This window comes from Homo sapiens, chromosome 2 (assembly GCF_000001405.40).
Source record: "Homo sapiens chromosome 2, GRCh38.p14 Primary Assembly".
Lineage (NCBI taxonomy): Eukaryota > Metazoa > Chordata > Mammalia > Primates > Hominidae > Homo > Homo sapiens.
In genome coordinates this window covers 138,490,769-138,506,173 of record NC_000002.12, presented here as the reverse complement: position 1 = coordinate 138,506,173, position 15,405 = coordinate 138,490,769, and the positions used below count along the sequence as shown (strand labels likewise).

Genomic DNA, 15,405 nt, shown 5'->3' with positions numbered 1-15,405 from the left:
ACTTGCCTCTTTCCAACCTGTTCTCTGCAGAGCAGCCAACTGATTTTTTTAAAGCAAAAATTTGGGTAACTTATTCAGCTGTTTAACATTCTCTGGTGGCTTCCTATTGCTCTTAGGATTAAGTACAAAATGCTTAGCGTGGATTTTGGCCATGGTGATCTGCTCCAGTCTATTCCCCATCAACCAACCTCACGTGCTGAAGTTCAGTTCTTACTGGACCTTCCAGGTCCAGAAAGTTGAAATTGCCAACATCACTTGGGTCACTACAGTTCATCCTTTAGGTTTCTGTCTAAAAGTCATTTCTTCAGAGAAGCATTCCCTAATGGATTGGTGTGCCTTTGTTCTTCACAATGATCTTCCTTTGTAGCAGTAATGGTAACTAATTATTTTTATAATTATTATTATTTTATTTTGAGACAGAGTCTCACTCTGTTGCTCAGGTTGGAGTGCAGCTCACTGCAAGCTCTGTCTCTGGGGTTCAAGAGATTCTCCTGCCTCACCCTCCCAAGTAGCCGGGACTACAGGTGTGTGCCACCACACCCAACTAACTATTTTTTTTTTTTTTTTTTTTTTTTTTTTAGAAGAGACACAGTTTCACCATGTTGGCCGGGCTGGTCTTGAACTCCTGACCTTAAGTGATAAGCCCACCTCGACCTCCCAAAGTGCTGGGATTATAGGTATGAGCCAAGGCACCTGGCCTATAATTTTTTTTCTTTATTTTATTCCCCAAACAGACTTCTGCCTCCATGAATACAAGTAATCTCTTTCCATTACATGTCACCAGAGACTGGCACAGATGGGTTGTTAATAAACTTTTGTTAAGTTAACAAATCCAAGTAAGGAAACAAAACAGTGAGCATGACCACTAAATGTAAATGCCTTCAATATTTAATCATATATAAGGCTTGACATAAGACTTTTGATGAAGTACTTTAAAAGAGTTACATCTCCTTTACTTTCTTCACTAAACAACATGAAAAGAGAAGGAAACTCTGCTGTGAAGCTTAAATTTATAAAAAATAAATAAATAAGATATTCAGAAAGGTGAAGAATTTTCTCTAATCAACAAGGAAGTGAGTCTTCTCTAAAGTAAATCAACAAGGAAGTGAAAGGTGTGAGAGGCAAAAGAGTAATAGATGAGAACTATGTTGCCTGGCTGCAAAACTTTCTCAACTGTCTGATTTTGCAGAAGTTAAGTAATCTGTTTCTCAAGTTCCTCATTTGTAAAATAGGAATAAAAAAGTCTTATTAAAGAATTATTATGGGTTTAAATAAGTTAATATATATAAACTGCCTGTCAGTGCCACATCAGAATAAAATTACAAAAAAGCAGAGACTGCATATTACTCTTCTCTGTACAGGAGCTTTTCTCAACTAGGGCTCTGCAGAAATTAAGCCCTACAAAAACTGGAGTAACTACTGCTTTAGTTCTCTCAAGAACGGTACGTAGCTAGTACTATTCTAGGTGCACAGGAGATGAGATAATTCATTACATAGCTTAGATGCCTCAGAGCATTAGGGTTTGATTTTCACCCAGAAACATGGTTGAGAAGGGCCACTCTCATGTATCCCCAATGCCTGGCACATGGTAGATGCTCATTAAATATTTTTGGAAAGAATATTTACAAAACTAAGAAACAGTGCCAGGCATAGAGTAGATGTTAAATGTCAATTTTATCCCACCCTTTCAAAGTTCTATAAGCTTTAAAAGTCTGATTCTAGGGGAGTTATTTTTCTTCAACCTGCCCTGTTTATATAAATTCATGGCCAAAAATGCAGATATAGACATTAGGAAAGCCAAGAAACTAAATGTTGGAAGGAACTATGTGGAAGCAGTGAGAGATGAAAATCAGGTAGAACCTGGATATACAGGAGAAAGAGCAAAGGTTATTCTAGGTCAGGGAACAGCATTACCAAAAACAGTGTCACCCCCAAGTATGGAACATGTTCCATGGTGGCACAAGAATGATTTTAAACTATAAATGGAAAAACATTTTTATTTTGATAGTTACATATGTACATATTTTTACATGTAATTAGGACAGCAAATAGTGATTTCAAACTTTTACTATTTAAAACAACACAAAAGTAATATCTATTCAGATCTTTTAATGTGAGTCCTTTAAAAATGTAATAAGTAAGCAACAGTGCACAAGAGGTAAGCAAATACGGCAAAAACTGTCAGCATTTTTTAAAGTGAGTAAAATTCTGTAAACACCAAGCCAAGAAGACATGTGAATATGAATGAACATAACACATTAAGAGAAAACGGCCACCAGTCTTCTGAAGGAAGACAAGCCAAAGCTCTATCTCGAGTAGTGATTGAAGATAAAGGTCAGATGAGTATGAAGAATACCACCAGTTTTGAGTATTTAACTTACAGTACTAAAACTTTTATCTGTAAAATCTCATTTTCCAGTATGATGAATCTGTTATACACAGTACTTTCACTTTGTTTATTCTCAAAACAAAGGTAAAATTGTAGAAGTTCCAAATAGACATCTGAAATAAGGACTGACCTATCTGTAGCTTGGTAGTTAGCTGCCTTGAAAATGGTGGGCTAAAACCCTGTAGTTTTCAAATCAGAAGGAATTAATTTATACAATAACAAATTATACATGCTATCTATATCAAAAAAGGTTGTTAAATGTCAAAGAATAAGAAAGTAGCTTTCCATTCCCACCTTCCTGTCTTAGAATTAATCTACCCACAAGCCAGATCAAGTCAAACCAAGAAGTGATGATAGCATTTATCAGATATTTGCCCTGTGCCAGGTACTGTTTTAAGTACTTTACTTGTATTTACTTGTGCAATTACTAGCACCATCCTGTGATGTCATATCATAACCCCATTTTACAGCTGTAAGTATACTGAGGCGAAGAAATATTAAGTAACTTCCCCAAAGCCAAAGCTGGTAGATGGCAGAGCAAGGGTTTACACCCTGGCAACTATATACTAGTCTGAGCTCTAGAGAAGAGTTCTTAACCACTAGGCAACATTTCTCACAAGAATGATGAAATGGTAATTTGAAATATTCCACCAATCTCATCGTGGCAGGAGAGATGTAATTTTTCAAGGTATGAACCTTTTACCTCTGTCAGTTTCTAGTCCAAGAAACAGTGGATTCAATTGCAAGTGGGAAAGTGAGTACCACAATGGGTCAAACTAGGCCCAAGATTATTCAAAAATAGACAAAGCATCAGAAGCCTGGAAAGAATCACTGAATGACAGAGTTCAGTCAGGAAAGAGACAAGCGAAAGTTAGGATAAGCAGATGGTGAATCTTATTTCTACTGGGTTGTGTGACTGCTTTGAGAGAGAAAATGCTACCTTCCCTTTTCTTTTATGTTGAATCAATATACAAATACATTGACTCAAAAAGAATTAGGAAAAAGGAGAGCAGCAGGAATACAAGTGGGCTCTTTGAAGACTTGGACCCCGAACCGCGCGGTTAGCTTGATGTACTCTGGTATAAGTGAGCAAAAATGTATTAGAAAGCAGGTTAAAGAGAGGTTAAAGGCATGACCACCGGACTGGAGGTAGTGAGCGGTCTGCGAAGCTGAGAACTCTGCCTAAAATGGGCTAACAGGGACGAGAGTTTCAAGTGTCTGTATTTGGGATGAGGAGGTATGAAAGTGGACGCTGCGCGGTGGCAGAGCATGCAGTTTCTGCCTTTGGGCAGCACTCAGGTAAAAAGGGGCAGGTGTGGAGGTATACAGGTATAGAGGAGGAGAGAAGCCAGAGGAAAAGAAGGGGCGAGGCCCGGGGGTAAAACTAAAGGGGATCCTGGAAGGTGGAGGCTGGGAAATCAAGGAGGGATTGGGGGCAACCCCGGGGAAAGTGGTGCCGCCGCGCGAGGGAAGGGCGGTCCGGGGGCGTGGGAGGTAGTCCCCAGAGCAGGCCGGAGCTCGCCGCCCGAGCAGGGGTCCGGGACCCAGAGAGCAGAGGGCGCAGTGAGGCGCGAGCAGGAGGCCGCCGGTCTACGGAGAGCCGGGGGAGGGGAGCAAGCGCCTGGGGCTGCCGCGGGGACTGGGGGGAGGGGAAGGGGCGCCTACCTGGACGTGCTGGGCGGCAGCGGTCAGTCCTGGTGGAGACTCCTCTCCCGCTGAGGCGGTGGCCGTGTCCGCCCTGGGAGCCCGAGGCTGCGGTGGTGGCAGCAGGGGTGATGGCGGCAAGTCCCTGTGGCGGCCGCCTCCGCCGAACCGCATCCCTCCTCCCCGACCCGCCCTCCTTCCCTATCTCCCGCTCCTAAACTTCTTCCCCGGGATAAACAAACCCGCCGCCAGGGGCGGCCACCTCCGCCACTCCCGCCCCCGCGCAGCCCCCACCCCCCCGCCGCGGGCCCGTCTGGGCTCCGGCTTCCGAGTTACGACTCCAGCCCCGGCTCCAGCCCGCGAGGGCGCGTGCGCGCGGCGGCGGCGGCGGCGGCTCCTGGGCCCTTGCTCCCTCCTACAGCGCCGGGCACTTCCGGGCGGGCCCGGATTTGCCGCCGCGCTTGGGAAGCCGCCACCGCCGCCGCTGCTGCATGGCACTAGGCTCCCGGCGGGGCAGGTTCCGCAGCCGGCACCGCTCTGGCTAGGCGCACGGAGGCGCCTTGCTTAGTCTGACCCTTATTTGGCCAGGCGTAAAACTTGTCCTGCCTAAAAGCCTACTGAGACCTCCTAACTGGTCTAATCCGCGGGAGACGCCAAAGGCGGCGGCCGTTTGTGCGCACAGGATTTTTCTTGGAGCTGTAGCAGTCTAGGAAGCCAGGGTGGAACTTTTGCTAAGCTCCCGTTGTAAGCCCAGAGCTGTAATAACTGCTGAGACACAACCAGCAGTATACAGGCTCCAGTTGGAAATCGAGAACTTTCCAGGTAGATGAAGTGCCCCATGGAGCAGTTTTCAGGTGGAGGGGATGAGGCTCAGCTGGAAGTCTCAGGCCAGAAGGAGAGGCTGCCGAGGGGCGGCCAGGGATGCCTAGGAAGTGAGCGCAGAAGACCAGGCGGCCTCCTGGGACCGCACGGTGGGAAATAAAGCTGCACCTGCACAAATGTGTGAAGAGAGGATGGGATTGCCTTGTCTCTTCGGACATTTAGTTTAAAAAGGGGGTGACAACTGAACTTTTTATTCCCCACGGCCATGGGACAAAGATACTTAATCGAGCTACCAGGAGTAAACTTCTTTAAAGAAGTTTGGGGGACCAACAATCCCGGCTTTGCCAGAACAGACATGAACGTCATTCAAGGATCCCAACTCTTTTTGCTTTAACTGTGCATACGTCAGCAATTTTTGTTTTGTTTTGTTTTTGACAGGGCTGTCACCCAGGCTGGAGTGCAGTGGTGCCATCACAGCTCACTGCAGCCTCGACCTCCTAGGCTAAAGTGATCCTCCCAACTCAGCCTCCCGTAGCTGGGACTACAGGAATGTGCCACGCCCAGGTAATCTTAATTTTTTGTGGAGACGAGGTCTTGCTATGTGGCCCAAGCAGATCTCGAACTCCTGAGCTCAAGGGATCCTCCCACCTTGGTCTCCCAAAGTGCTGGGATTTGCAGGCGTGAACCACCACACCTGGCCATAAACCAACTTCTCATTGCTTACCTGGCTTTCCAAGAAAAGAGAGAGGGCAGAGGGAAAATATTTATTATTTTGCTATGTACTGAGTATTCTAAGCATGGACTTGTATCGTCTCTGTTCTCTCAACAACCTCTCTAAAACTTCAACGTAGAAATTTCCATCTTAAAATTAAGCGACAAGAACTAGAAATGGCAAGTAATTCATCCAGAGGTTACTGGGATTTGAATACTGGACAGGCAGATCCCCCTCATTTCAAATTAATACTACATTAGCTGTCTTTTTTATTTCTTTTTTCTTTTTGTTTGTTTGAGACAGGATCTCGCTTTGTACGCCAGGCTGGAGTGCAGTGGCGCGATCCTGGGTCACCTCCCAGATTCAAGCAATTCTGTGCCTCAGCCACCAAGTATCTGGGACTACAGGCGTGAGCCCGGCTAATTTTTGTATTTTTAGTAGAAACAGAGTCTCACCATATTGCCCAGGCTGGGCTCAAACTCCTGGCCTCAAGTGATCCTCCCACTTCTGCCTCCCAAAATGCTGGGATTAGCACCTGACCTTACGTTAGCAATCCTGTTGACTTATTTAAGACAAAACGTGCTTTAAGACAAAATCTGTGCCAAAGGTTTTCAGATAAAGATAAAATTAGCAATGTAACCATAAAATTCAAAGTTGCCTTGGGCTGAGTTGGTAGAATGTTTATGCAGATCAAGGAACTCCAAAAGTTAAAAAACAGAAGTGGAAGTGAGCATTAGGGAATGGGGAAAGAGTTGGTGGAGAGAGGAAATATTTGTGTAAACATTTAACCATCTCCAAACACCAGCAAAGAACAGTTGAAACGATTTGCTATACTCACTGTCCACCCGTGTTAACTTTATGGTATGTGACATACAGCAAAAATTACATGTAATTTTTGACTAAGCCTTTTAGCTCTTTCAATCCCTTCGTAGTATGTCACCCCCTCTCTTCCCATAATTAAAAATTATAAGACACCTAGTAAATATAATACACTCATAGAATTAAGTTATAAGTCCATCAAGTACATTTCCAATTGGAAGTTAAGAGTGATGCTGACCCTTCACAGTTGACTGGGCTGAAGTTGGGAACTGATTCAATAAACTTCCACCACAAGGATGTCAAATTGCTCCTCAGGGTATTCTCAGAGAGTCTTTTCCCTAGGCTTGATCTCCTTACCCTAAGTGTTAGGACACACCATTCCTCTCTTGCTTGCAGTATTCAATGACTTTACCCACTAATAAAATGATAGTAAATAGTAAGAGTGAATATGGCTTGTAAGTAATGCTAACAAAACTGTGATGGCTTAGCAAAGTAAAAGATGGTTTTATGGTCAGTAAGTTTGGATTAAAGCTTACTAAAGCTTGATGCTTTGTTACCAGTCTGCTAAAGAACTACCTTCTTAATTTGATTTCCTACTTACTGGATACCTATTGGAAAACTAGAGAGATATGATAGGCTTTCATTTATTGCTGCCGTAAATAAATTTTTAAAATAGAGAAATAACAGCTTTGTCATTAGTGTAGAGCACAGTTTGCCTCTGCTAGGTCAGTATTGGGCTTGCTTCGTTTAAGTCATTAACCATTAGGATCACCCAACTTGTCCTGCCTAAAAGCCTACTGAAAAAACATGCATATAACTTTTGCATATTTATTTTGCTACTTATTGTTGATTTTCTATAGGAAACTATTTATACTCCTCAGTGTATATGGCCAACTTGGAAGTTCTACTTCCTATAATTATGTCAGCAGTTAGTGAAGATGATCAAAACAGCCATTCTGAATTTAATAAACAGATGAGCCTCAGACTCTGGATCTCCATGACCCAACCCTATGAGGCTCTGCCTGAAGAACCAATCAAGCTTCCCACTTTGATATTTTAGTGACTGTAGCATCTTGTTCCTCTTCTAAATTAAACACCACAGATGCTCCCATTTCATGGCTGTGTAGGCACGATGGACTCACCACTGCCTTCCATACCACCACCTGGTTTATACAATAATTTTCCAATTCTAGTTGTCCAAAACGAAGCTATACAAAACTCACAAATCCATTATTGTCTTCCATGTAGAGATAAAAAAGCAAGGAATATGCTTGTTAAAAAGCATGCAATACTTTATGAATCCTCGGTGATGTACTTTTTGGGCTCGCTGCTGCTGGAGATTTTGCTAATGCCCCTACACGTTTTAATGCAGTCCACCAAGCTCTTTGCTAGTAAGCTGGTTTCCACTTTTTTTTTTTCCTTTTTCTTTTTCTTTTCTTTTCTTTTTTTTTTTTAAACAGACAGGATCTCCCTTTGTTGCCCAGGCTGGAGTGCAGTGGTTATTCATAGGCATGATGATGGCTCACTACAGTTTCAAACTCCTGGACTTAAACAATCCTGTCTCAGCCTCCTGAGTAGCTGGGACTTACAGATGCGCACCACCATACCTGGCATCCCACATATTTTTCTAATCATTATCCCCTTCTTTCCTAAATTTTCTTCAAGGAAACCAAACTCAGTCCCAACTTCCATAAGCTAACACTTATACAATTAAAATGACATTTAGCTTCTGGAATCAATGTGGAAAGAAATGACAACTTATTTGCTGATTATTTTTCACTGTAATAAATATTAGGCCTTTTATCTGGAAGGAAATACCAAACCCTTGTTTAATATTAATAACTTGTAAATTATTGTACACGTAATTTCATTCTCTCTTCCCATGTCTTCATTTTTCTGCCTCTGGCTTTTCACCTTGTTGTGAATTCCTAGTTTTATAGTACTTTTATACTGTATGATACTGACTTCTTAAGCATACAAAAAACTTCAGAACTCAAGCAATTCCACCTGTAAGCCTTGTCTAGTGATGCCTATGGCAAAAAAGGACCCATACATTTGATGTACTTATCACTCAAAAATCATTCCCAGAGAATTCTCAGGAAACTCAGAACAGGGCCTACCCTGAATTCTGAGAACAGGACCATTTTTAAGTCCTTTAAGTCCTTCATTGACACCCTTCCTTTCTCTTACTTTCTTTTCTTTCTTATTTTTCTCTTTCTTTCTTTTCTTTTCTTTTTTTCTTTTTCTTTTCTTTCCTTTCTTCCTTCTTTCCTTTCCTTTCCTTTTTTCCTTTCTTTTACTTTTCTCTTTCTTTCTTTCTCTCCCTTTCCTTTCCTTTTCCTTTTCCTTCCCCGTCCCTTCCCCGTCCCGTTCCATTCCGTTCCATTCTGTCTTGCTCTGTTACCCAGGCTGGAGGGCAGTGGTGCAATCATAACTCAGTGCAGTCTTGACCTCTTGGGCCCAAGGGATCCTCCCATCTCAGCCTCCTGCAGGCATGCACTATCAAGTCCAGCTGATTTTTTTTTTTTTTTCATTTTATTTTTTCTAAACACCGGGTTTCACCATGTTGCCCAGGCTGGTCTGGAACTCCTGGCTTCAAGTGATCTTCCTGCCTTGGCCTCCCAAAGTGCTGAGATTACAGGCATGAGCCACAGTGCCCGGCCAACACCCTTACCTTTATGTTCCCAGTCACATTATGTCAAATATTTCAGAATGCTTCTTTGTTTCAAATTAAATACACATTCATAAATTTACTGCTTTGGTTCTTTGGATAATCAATCAGTCAGGTCTATAGGAGAGATGATTTTTGTTGTTTTTCTTGTGAAAAATGTGAAGAATAAGTTGAATGGTTGGCATACTGCCACATCTTATAGCCATTGAGTTAAATATTCATTTGAATTAGGTTTAAAACGTGGTTGAGGCTCTTGAAATGCTAGTAATCCATAGATTCTTTATCATTAGTGCCTCACGCATTAGAAATAGCAGTACTTCTGCTGGGGAATGTATCATCTGGGAAAAGTCTTGGCTACCCTACCTGCAGGTCCTCTATTCATAGTGTAATAAAAGAAAAACAATAAAAATGATCTTTTCTACAAGATTATCCAAAACTCCTACAGCATCCCTCCAGGCATCAGCTGAGGGCTCTTATTCCAAAGTCACTTACTGTTGCTGGAATTCTTTTATTCTGCCAGGATCCAGGCAGTCGCTGCTGCCATGATCTAGTCCCTAATGACCTCTCTCTTCAGCTTGGCCAGCTAAGCTCTCTCCTGCTGGCGCCCTGGCCCTGCCCCTTCTCTGCTCTCAGGTAACAGAGAAAGAGGAGTTGTGGTTGGCCCTGGAACCTGGATACAGACCCAGGGGAAGTCTAAAGCTCTCCACTCTGTTCAGCCAGAGGCCACCAGCCTCTGCACCAGCCCTAATTGGCTCTAGAGGTGCAACTGATCGGTCTCCTCCTCTTTTATCTCTGCTCAGTCATCACCATGTCTCCAGGTCAGGGTCTGTGGTCTTCTCAGAGAGACACACCCTCCTCCCTATCAGGGCTGTACCTGGCTAGAAGAGTTTGTTTAAACATCTGCCCCTGCAGTGCGCACTGGGTGGTTTCCTGTCTTTGTGTCCTTCTCCTAAATTGGAGCCACTTCATCCCAGTCACCTTGGAACCTGACTCAAGAAATGGCAGTTCCATGCCTATTTCTCTGGACACACAAAGGGGTCCTGTCTCCAGGGTAATCTCAGATTGGATCACCCCTTGTTTCACTTAGACTCAGGTGCCCCTTCTCCCAACGAGGATGCATATAGAATAGAATTAGGCCCTGCTCCCAGACAAGCAATCTAGAAGTCCATTCTCATTGGTTGACCTTCTGTGGTGTTCCTGAAATTGCCTTGTAGCCAATCAGACACTAAGTAAACCCAGGAGCCTTGGAACCTCTGGACCTCAGTTTTCCTTGACTCACTGATTTTCCACTGGTCTGGTGCCTCAGAAGAACCAGATTCTCCTGTTCAGTCGTCACTTCCCTTCTGCTGCTTCCCTGCTTTAGAAACTAAGCCCTGTCTTGCTTTTGTCAATTCTGTATTTATACCCCTACACAAAACTGAATGGCCACTGGCCTCCAGATGGTTCTCCTACACTTCAGTCTTTCACTGCTAGCCTGCCTGCCGAATTGGAAACCCTGGTATGACCATTTCCAAAATTAGAAACCAGACTGCACCATCTCCCAGGGGCACTATGCCTGCATCTCTCAGCACTCAGTCGAGCCAACCTCTGCAAGTGTCCCAGACACCCTTCCTTCCAGTCTCTTCTACTCCCCTCCCCCATATTTCTGGCTATGGTGATTTGGGCTTTTGCCTTCCACTCTTTGCCCAACCTTGCTGAAGTCTTAACACATTGGACCTCCCCTGCCTGAACTATGCCAAGCAGAAGAAAGGCGAATTCAAGGGTTACCTAAACCCTGGATATTCTTTCAGAGGCCTCATCACACATCCTATCAAACACTGGAAAATGTCCTATCCCACATGAAAAGCACGACGTTTTGTTATGAAAATTAAAGGAAATCATATAATTTTCCTCTTGAAACATTTATTAATTGCATTTTATAATTTGCTTTGTGTTTTAGAGCCAGGCCATTTTCTTGTCCAGCTCTCAAACAATTTGATAAGACTGGGAAATGCTTATGAGCTCTGGGCACTGCACCTATAGTGAGAACTTGAGCCTTAAAGGATTAGAAAAATGCCTCTGGGAGGAAAGCAAACACACACGTCTCTATGATGCAGTTCAAGCCCCTCACCCCCATCATCACTTAAATCTCTCTCTTGCCCAGTTTCTATATCCTAATGGGCTTCTTTGCCTGATCCCCTGTCTTGGCTACTCACCTTCTGCCAGCAGCTCTCAGACAAACACTCCCCTTATTCCCAAAGCAAGCTGGCCTGCCTGGATTTCAAGAGTTTCACCAGCCCCTAGATTCCCTTTCAAGCCCTTGTTCCACCTCTGAGGACCCTGCCCCCAGGCGACTGCCACTTTGGACTATGGCATTTGTTTGCTTGACCCTGTAGAAATGATAACTGAACTCTCTTAAGGCTGCAGCTTCATCTGGCTCTCTGGAGCCCCAGCCCCCTTCAAAGCCCTGATCTGGGATTGCATATTGGGTGCTTCAGTCTTTCCCTGCCTGCTGGGACTGACCAGCAAAGGCCATTTGTGTCCCAAGTAGGACAGCTACCAGAAATCACACTTCACATTTTCCTACTTAAGGTGCCTGCTTACATTTCCCTGTGCTTTGAGTGTCTCCTTCTCTAAAGGAGCCTTTTATGAGTCAGTTACATGTGGCATCCCTGCTACACTTCTCTGTGGCTTTTCTGATCAGTTATACAGATTAAGAACATGTACAAGAAAGCCAAAATATCCCCAGCAATTACCCCAGGTTACGTCTCTTGTAAATGTTAACCATTACTCAGTTGAAATAGCCATTAATAGTTGGCTTTTGTGTTCCAGGATTTCTGAGGTCACTGAATTACTAGTGATTCTGCAATTTCAATATATTTCTTAAAATTAAATTACACATATTTTGGGTACACAGTGATCCAGTTAAGAGGGAGAGTCTGCAATTATATATTTTTGTCTCTTTAGTTTCCTTTCTCATTTTTTTCCCCCAGAAAGGAAATTAGACTAGCCTTTTAAAAATGGTGTTCTGCTACAGTCTGCAATTTTGAGAGGAAAGGTGATGAATGCCTTTATTTTCATGTCGTCAAAAGCTCAGCAAGAATTTGCGTCTATTTTGACTGTGGAGCCTACTGTGTGCAAAACAGGTGTGACAAAATCCCCCCTATTAGAGCTGTTTTCTTTCCATTTTCTATTTTAAAAAAACTTTTCTCTCTGTGGTAATCACTTAACCCTAAAAGGCCTGGATATTTATACAAAAAGGTACCATGCTTCATTTGTTAAATACTCTTTCTCTTCTGAGTTTGATTTTAATTTTAGTTATTTAATTGTTTGGTCCAAGATAGACTTAAAACATCTTATTTTGAAAGAAAACATGATTAAGTTCCTGGAATATTTACTTGATCACTTGAACCAATCCATGGTGTTCCTCCATTGGCATTCCTCCGCGGGACGTGTGATGACTAGCCTGCTAGTCTTGGAAAATACTCCTCCCCTGCCCTTCTCTGTCCTTATCTAAGCTGGCTTCTACAGGCTGTTTTCCAGACCCATGTGTCAGCTGGCTTCCTACTGGGCTAGGCTAACAGGGAGCACTGTCAGGTGATTGGAGGGTAGGAGAAACCAATATATCTCCCCATCTCTTTCTGCCTTAGGCACCATCCCCTGCAGCTGTCTCCCCAGCGGCTCCCTCTCTTGCTGGACAGGCCTACCATGAAATCAGCCCTGGGATCTGACAATACTACCTCCTCCTGCCACCTACTTAAAAGTGTAATAGTTTCCTGTGGTTGCTTCTCTGGGGAAGAATTTCCCCTGGATTCTTCTCAGTTTTTCCATCACCTGTGCAACAGATTCCTTGTATCACATTCTTTGTTTGAAGAAATAAGTGTGGTTTCTGTTTTTCTAGTTGAATTCAGCAGATTTATCCATTTTGTGTTTTCGTAAGGGTCTTACCCTGCTTAGGGGAGAAGGAATGATTTTCACAGGAAAGCAGTCACATTCAGTTTAGGAATCTGCCTGTGCTTCCCCCGATGGCTTTAGTAATGTCATTATTTTTTCCACCTCTTACTCCCCATGCTTGCTCCTCACCTCCCATACCCAACCTGTGTCTCTCCTGCTTCCTCCATTCTTAGAGCATATGACACCTATCTTCTGGGGTCACATCCCCAGAGGTACACAATGATTTGTTTTTGTTTATTTTTAAATTTCTTTTCATATAGTGTCCTTAACAAGAATGTCACTGCTGTAGGATAGGATAGCAAAAGAGCACTGGGTTTTTCATTCAGAATGTGAATCAGTGTGGCTTGTTTGAATCCTATAGCCTTGTCCTGCACAACAGTGCCCTTGATAGCAGAACAGGAAAAAAGATAATTTCACCACAAATCTATGAGGAGAAAATGAGATGAAACATATGAAAGGATTGTGCAAAAGATAAAAGGCTAAAAGAAAATAAAAAGAAAAGGCCAGGTATGGTGTTTCATGCCTATAATCCCAGCATTGTGGGAGCCCAAGGCAGGAGGATCACTTGAGCCCAGGAGTTCAATATCAGCCTGGGCAGCATAGAGAGGTCCTGTCTGTATTTAAAAAAAATTTTTTTTAACGATAAAATGCTAAGCAAATAAGAAGTTATTATTTTGAAATAGTAAATAAGCCTAAATTAGTTGTTTTCCTTGAAACAATTGTAATTTTAAAAGTTACCACAAAGGTATTTCTCAACTAGAATTTATACAGAAGCTTAACAACATCACAGTCTTGATTTAACACATGATTTCTCAATCTCAGTTCTATTGACCTTTGAGGTTGGATAATTCTTTGTTGTAGGGAGCTGTCTTGTGCATTGTAAGATTTTTGGTGGCATCTCTACCAGTAGCACCCACCTGTCTAGTTATAACAAAACATTTCTCAACATTGCCAAATGTCCCCTAGGAAAAAAAAAAAAAGAGACAAAACCGCCCCAAATTGAAAACCACTGATTTAACAAAACCTACTTGGAAAGATGTGCCTTCTTTTTGATATAAGTTGTTAAAACAAACAATAATTAAAAGAAGTCTGGCTTTTCATAGATTATTTGGGAAAAATCTTTTAAAAATGCAGTTCAGTCATAAAATATAACCTTAAAGATCCAAAAACCCTACAGTGAAAGTCAGTGGTGATTGTCACAGCAGTAGTGTGTGTTACTAAGTATTTACGTTGGAGAAGCTAATCTTCCTGTTAAGTATTGTGGTCGGACTACCTAACCAAGATGTCCTTTCTTCTTCATACAATTAATAACATTGTTATTTTTACTAGGTGTTAAAAAAAAACACACTAACACTTTATATCTGACTACTGTATGTTGAAATCCTTTGATGTCCTTTAAAAGGCAAGGTAACTCAGATTGAATATTAGTAGGAACATATATTTCACTCTTGACTCATATATTCTGGGTTTGTACTTGTATGGACTACCTTGAGTAGCTGCAGGACTTAGAATTTTATGAGCATCACAGCTAAGTCATGGTCTGTAGAATCATTCATATTTCAATTCCTAATATGGTAGTCTTAGCTACCATTTAATTTCTAGAGAACTGGAAACCAAAGTATAACTATGTAAAGTCTAGAAATTATTGTATTTAAAATATTGATTCCAGGTCTCCAAATATGTCTCTTCTAGCTTATATCAATAGGTTTCTAAAACCAGTTTTTCATCTCCACTGTGTCAGTTAGCTTTCTTCCCAGCTAAAGAAAATATTGACCAAAGCAAGTTGCAAAACAGGTGAAACTGGTTGTAGTAAAAGAGTTACTTTTTGCTGGGAAGATAAAAGAGATGTAACTACTGTCCTTGACATGAGTATATTGCTAAGCTTTGTGGACAAACATTCTGAGATTGGTAAAATACTTACTGCTTCAGGAAAATTACACTTATTTCCTCATCTATGATTTTGCATTCTCCTAGTTAATCTTCTTTTGGGGGACAGTGAGCCTCCTTTGAAGGACTTACGGGCATTAATAATAATATCACTGTACAAAAATTAATAATATGTATTGCTCTTTTAAAGATACTTTTGTACAAGATATTTTAATAAAACAATCTTATTCAGTGCTGCTTATTGTGGTTGGTGAAAAATAAATAAATAAAAACTATCTTATAACTGAGGCGGGTGGTCAGAGTTTTGGATGCAGACAGTGGGATTAAGTTCAGTCAGAAAGTTAGGGCACTTTTATTTGCCGTCATGCTTTTGAATTTGAAGGACTTTGGACCAAGCCTGCCTCTCCAGTTCACTGTCATGTTCTCAGTTCATCACATATTACATCTGGCCTACGCTTCACATCTGTCAAGCCTCTGTGCAGACATTTGGATCTGTAAACTCTGCCAGGACAAAGCTTGGGCTAGCAT

At 42.2% G+C, this 15,405-nt stretch overlaps 1 protein-coding gene and 1 long non-coding RNA gene across 2 annotated transcripts in view, besides 2 other annotated features; one reads left to right on the top strand and one right to left on the bottom strand.

The window, feature by feature from the left end:
- Positions 1 to 4,404, bottom strand: part of SPOPL (speckle type BTB/POZ protein like) — a 71,778-nt gene extending 67,374 nt beyond the window's left edge. The window contains exon 1 of the mRNA NM_001001664.3: positions 4,055 to 4,404. The gene's annotated coding sequence lies outside the window, so the exon portion shown is untranslated. The remainder of the gene's footprint in view (positions 1 to 4,054) is intronic.
- Positions 3,719 to 3,768: a silencer, noted in NCBI's record as "silent region_11987". NCBI's record gives its function as "represses an Ori minimal core promoter by ATAC-STARR-seq in GM12878 lymphoblastoid cells {active_cell/tissue: GM12878}" and the evidence as "EXISTENCE:reporter gene assay evidence [ECO:0000049][PMID:35858748]".
- Positions 3,969 to 4,508: a silencer, noted in NCBI's record as "silent region_11986". NCBI's record gives its function as "represses an Ori minimal core promoter by ATAC-STARR-seq in GM12878 lymphoblastoid cells {active_cell/tissue: GM12878}" and the evidence as "EXISTENCE:reporter gene assay evidence [ECO:0000049][PMID:35858748]".
- SPOPL-DT (SPOPL divergent transcript) lies at positions 4,479 to 15,111 on the top strand. Its single transcript, NR_187149.1, has 2 exons — positions 4,479 to 4,855; positions 5,294 to 15,111. It is a non-coding gene; the product is annotated as an SPOPL divergent transcript (long non-coding RNA).
- Positions 15,112 to 15,405: the final 294 nt, after the last annotated feature.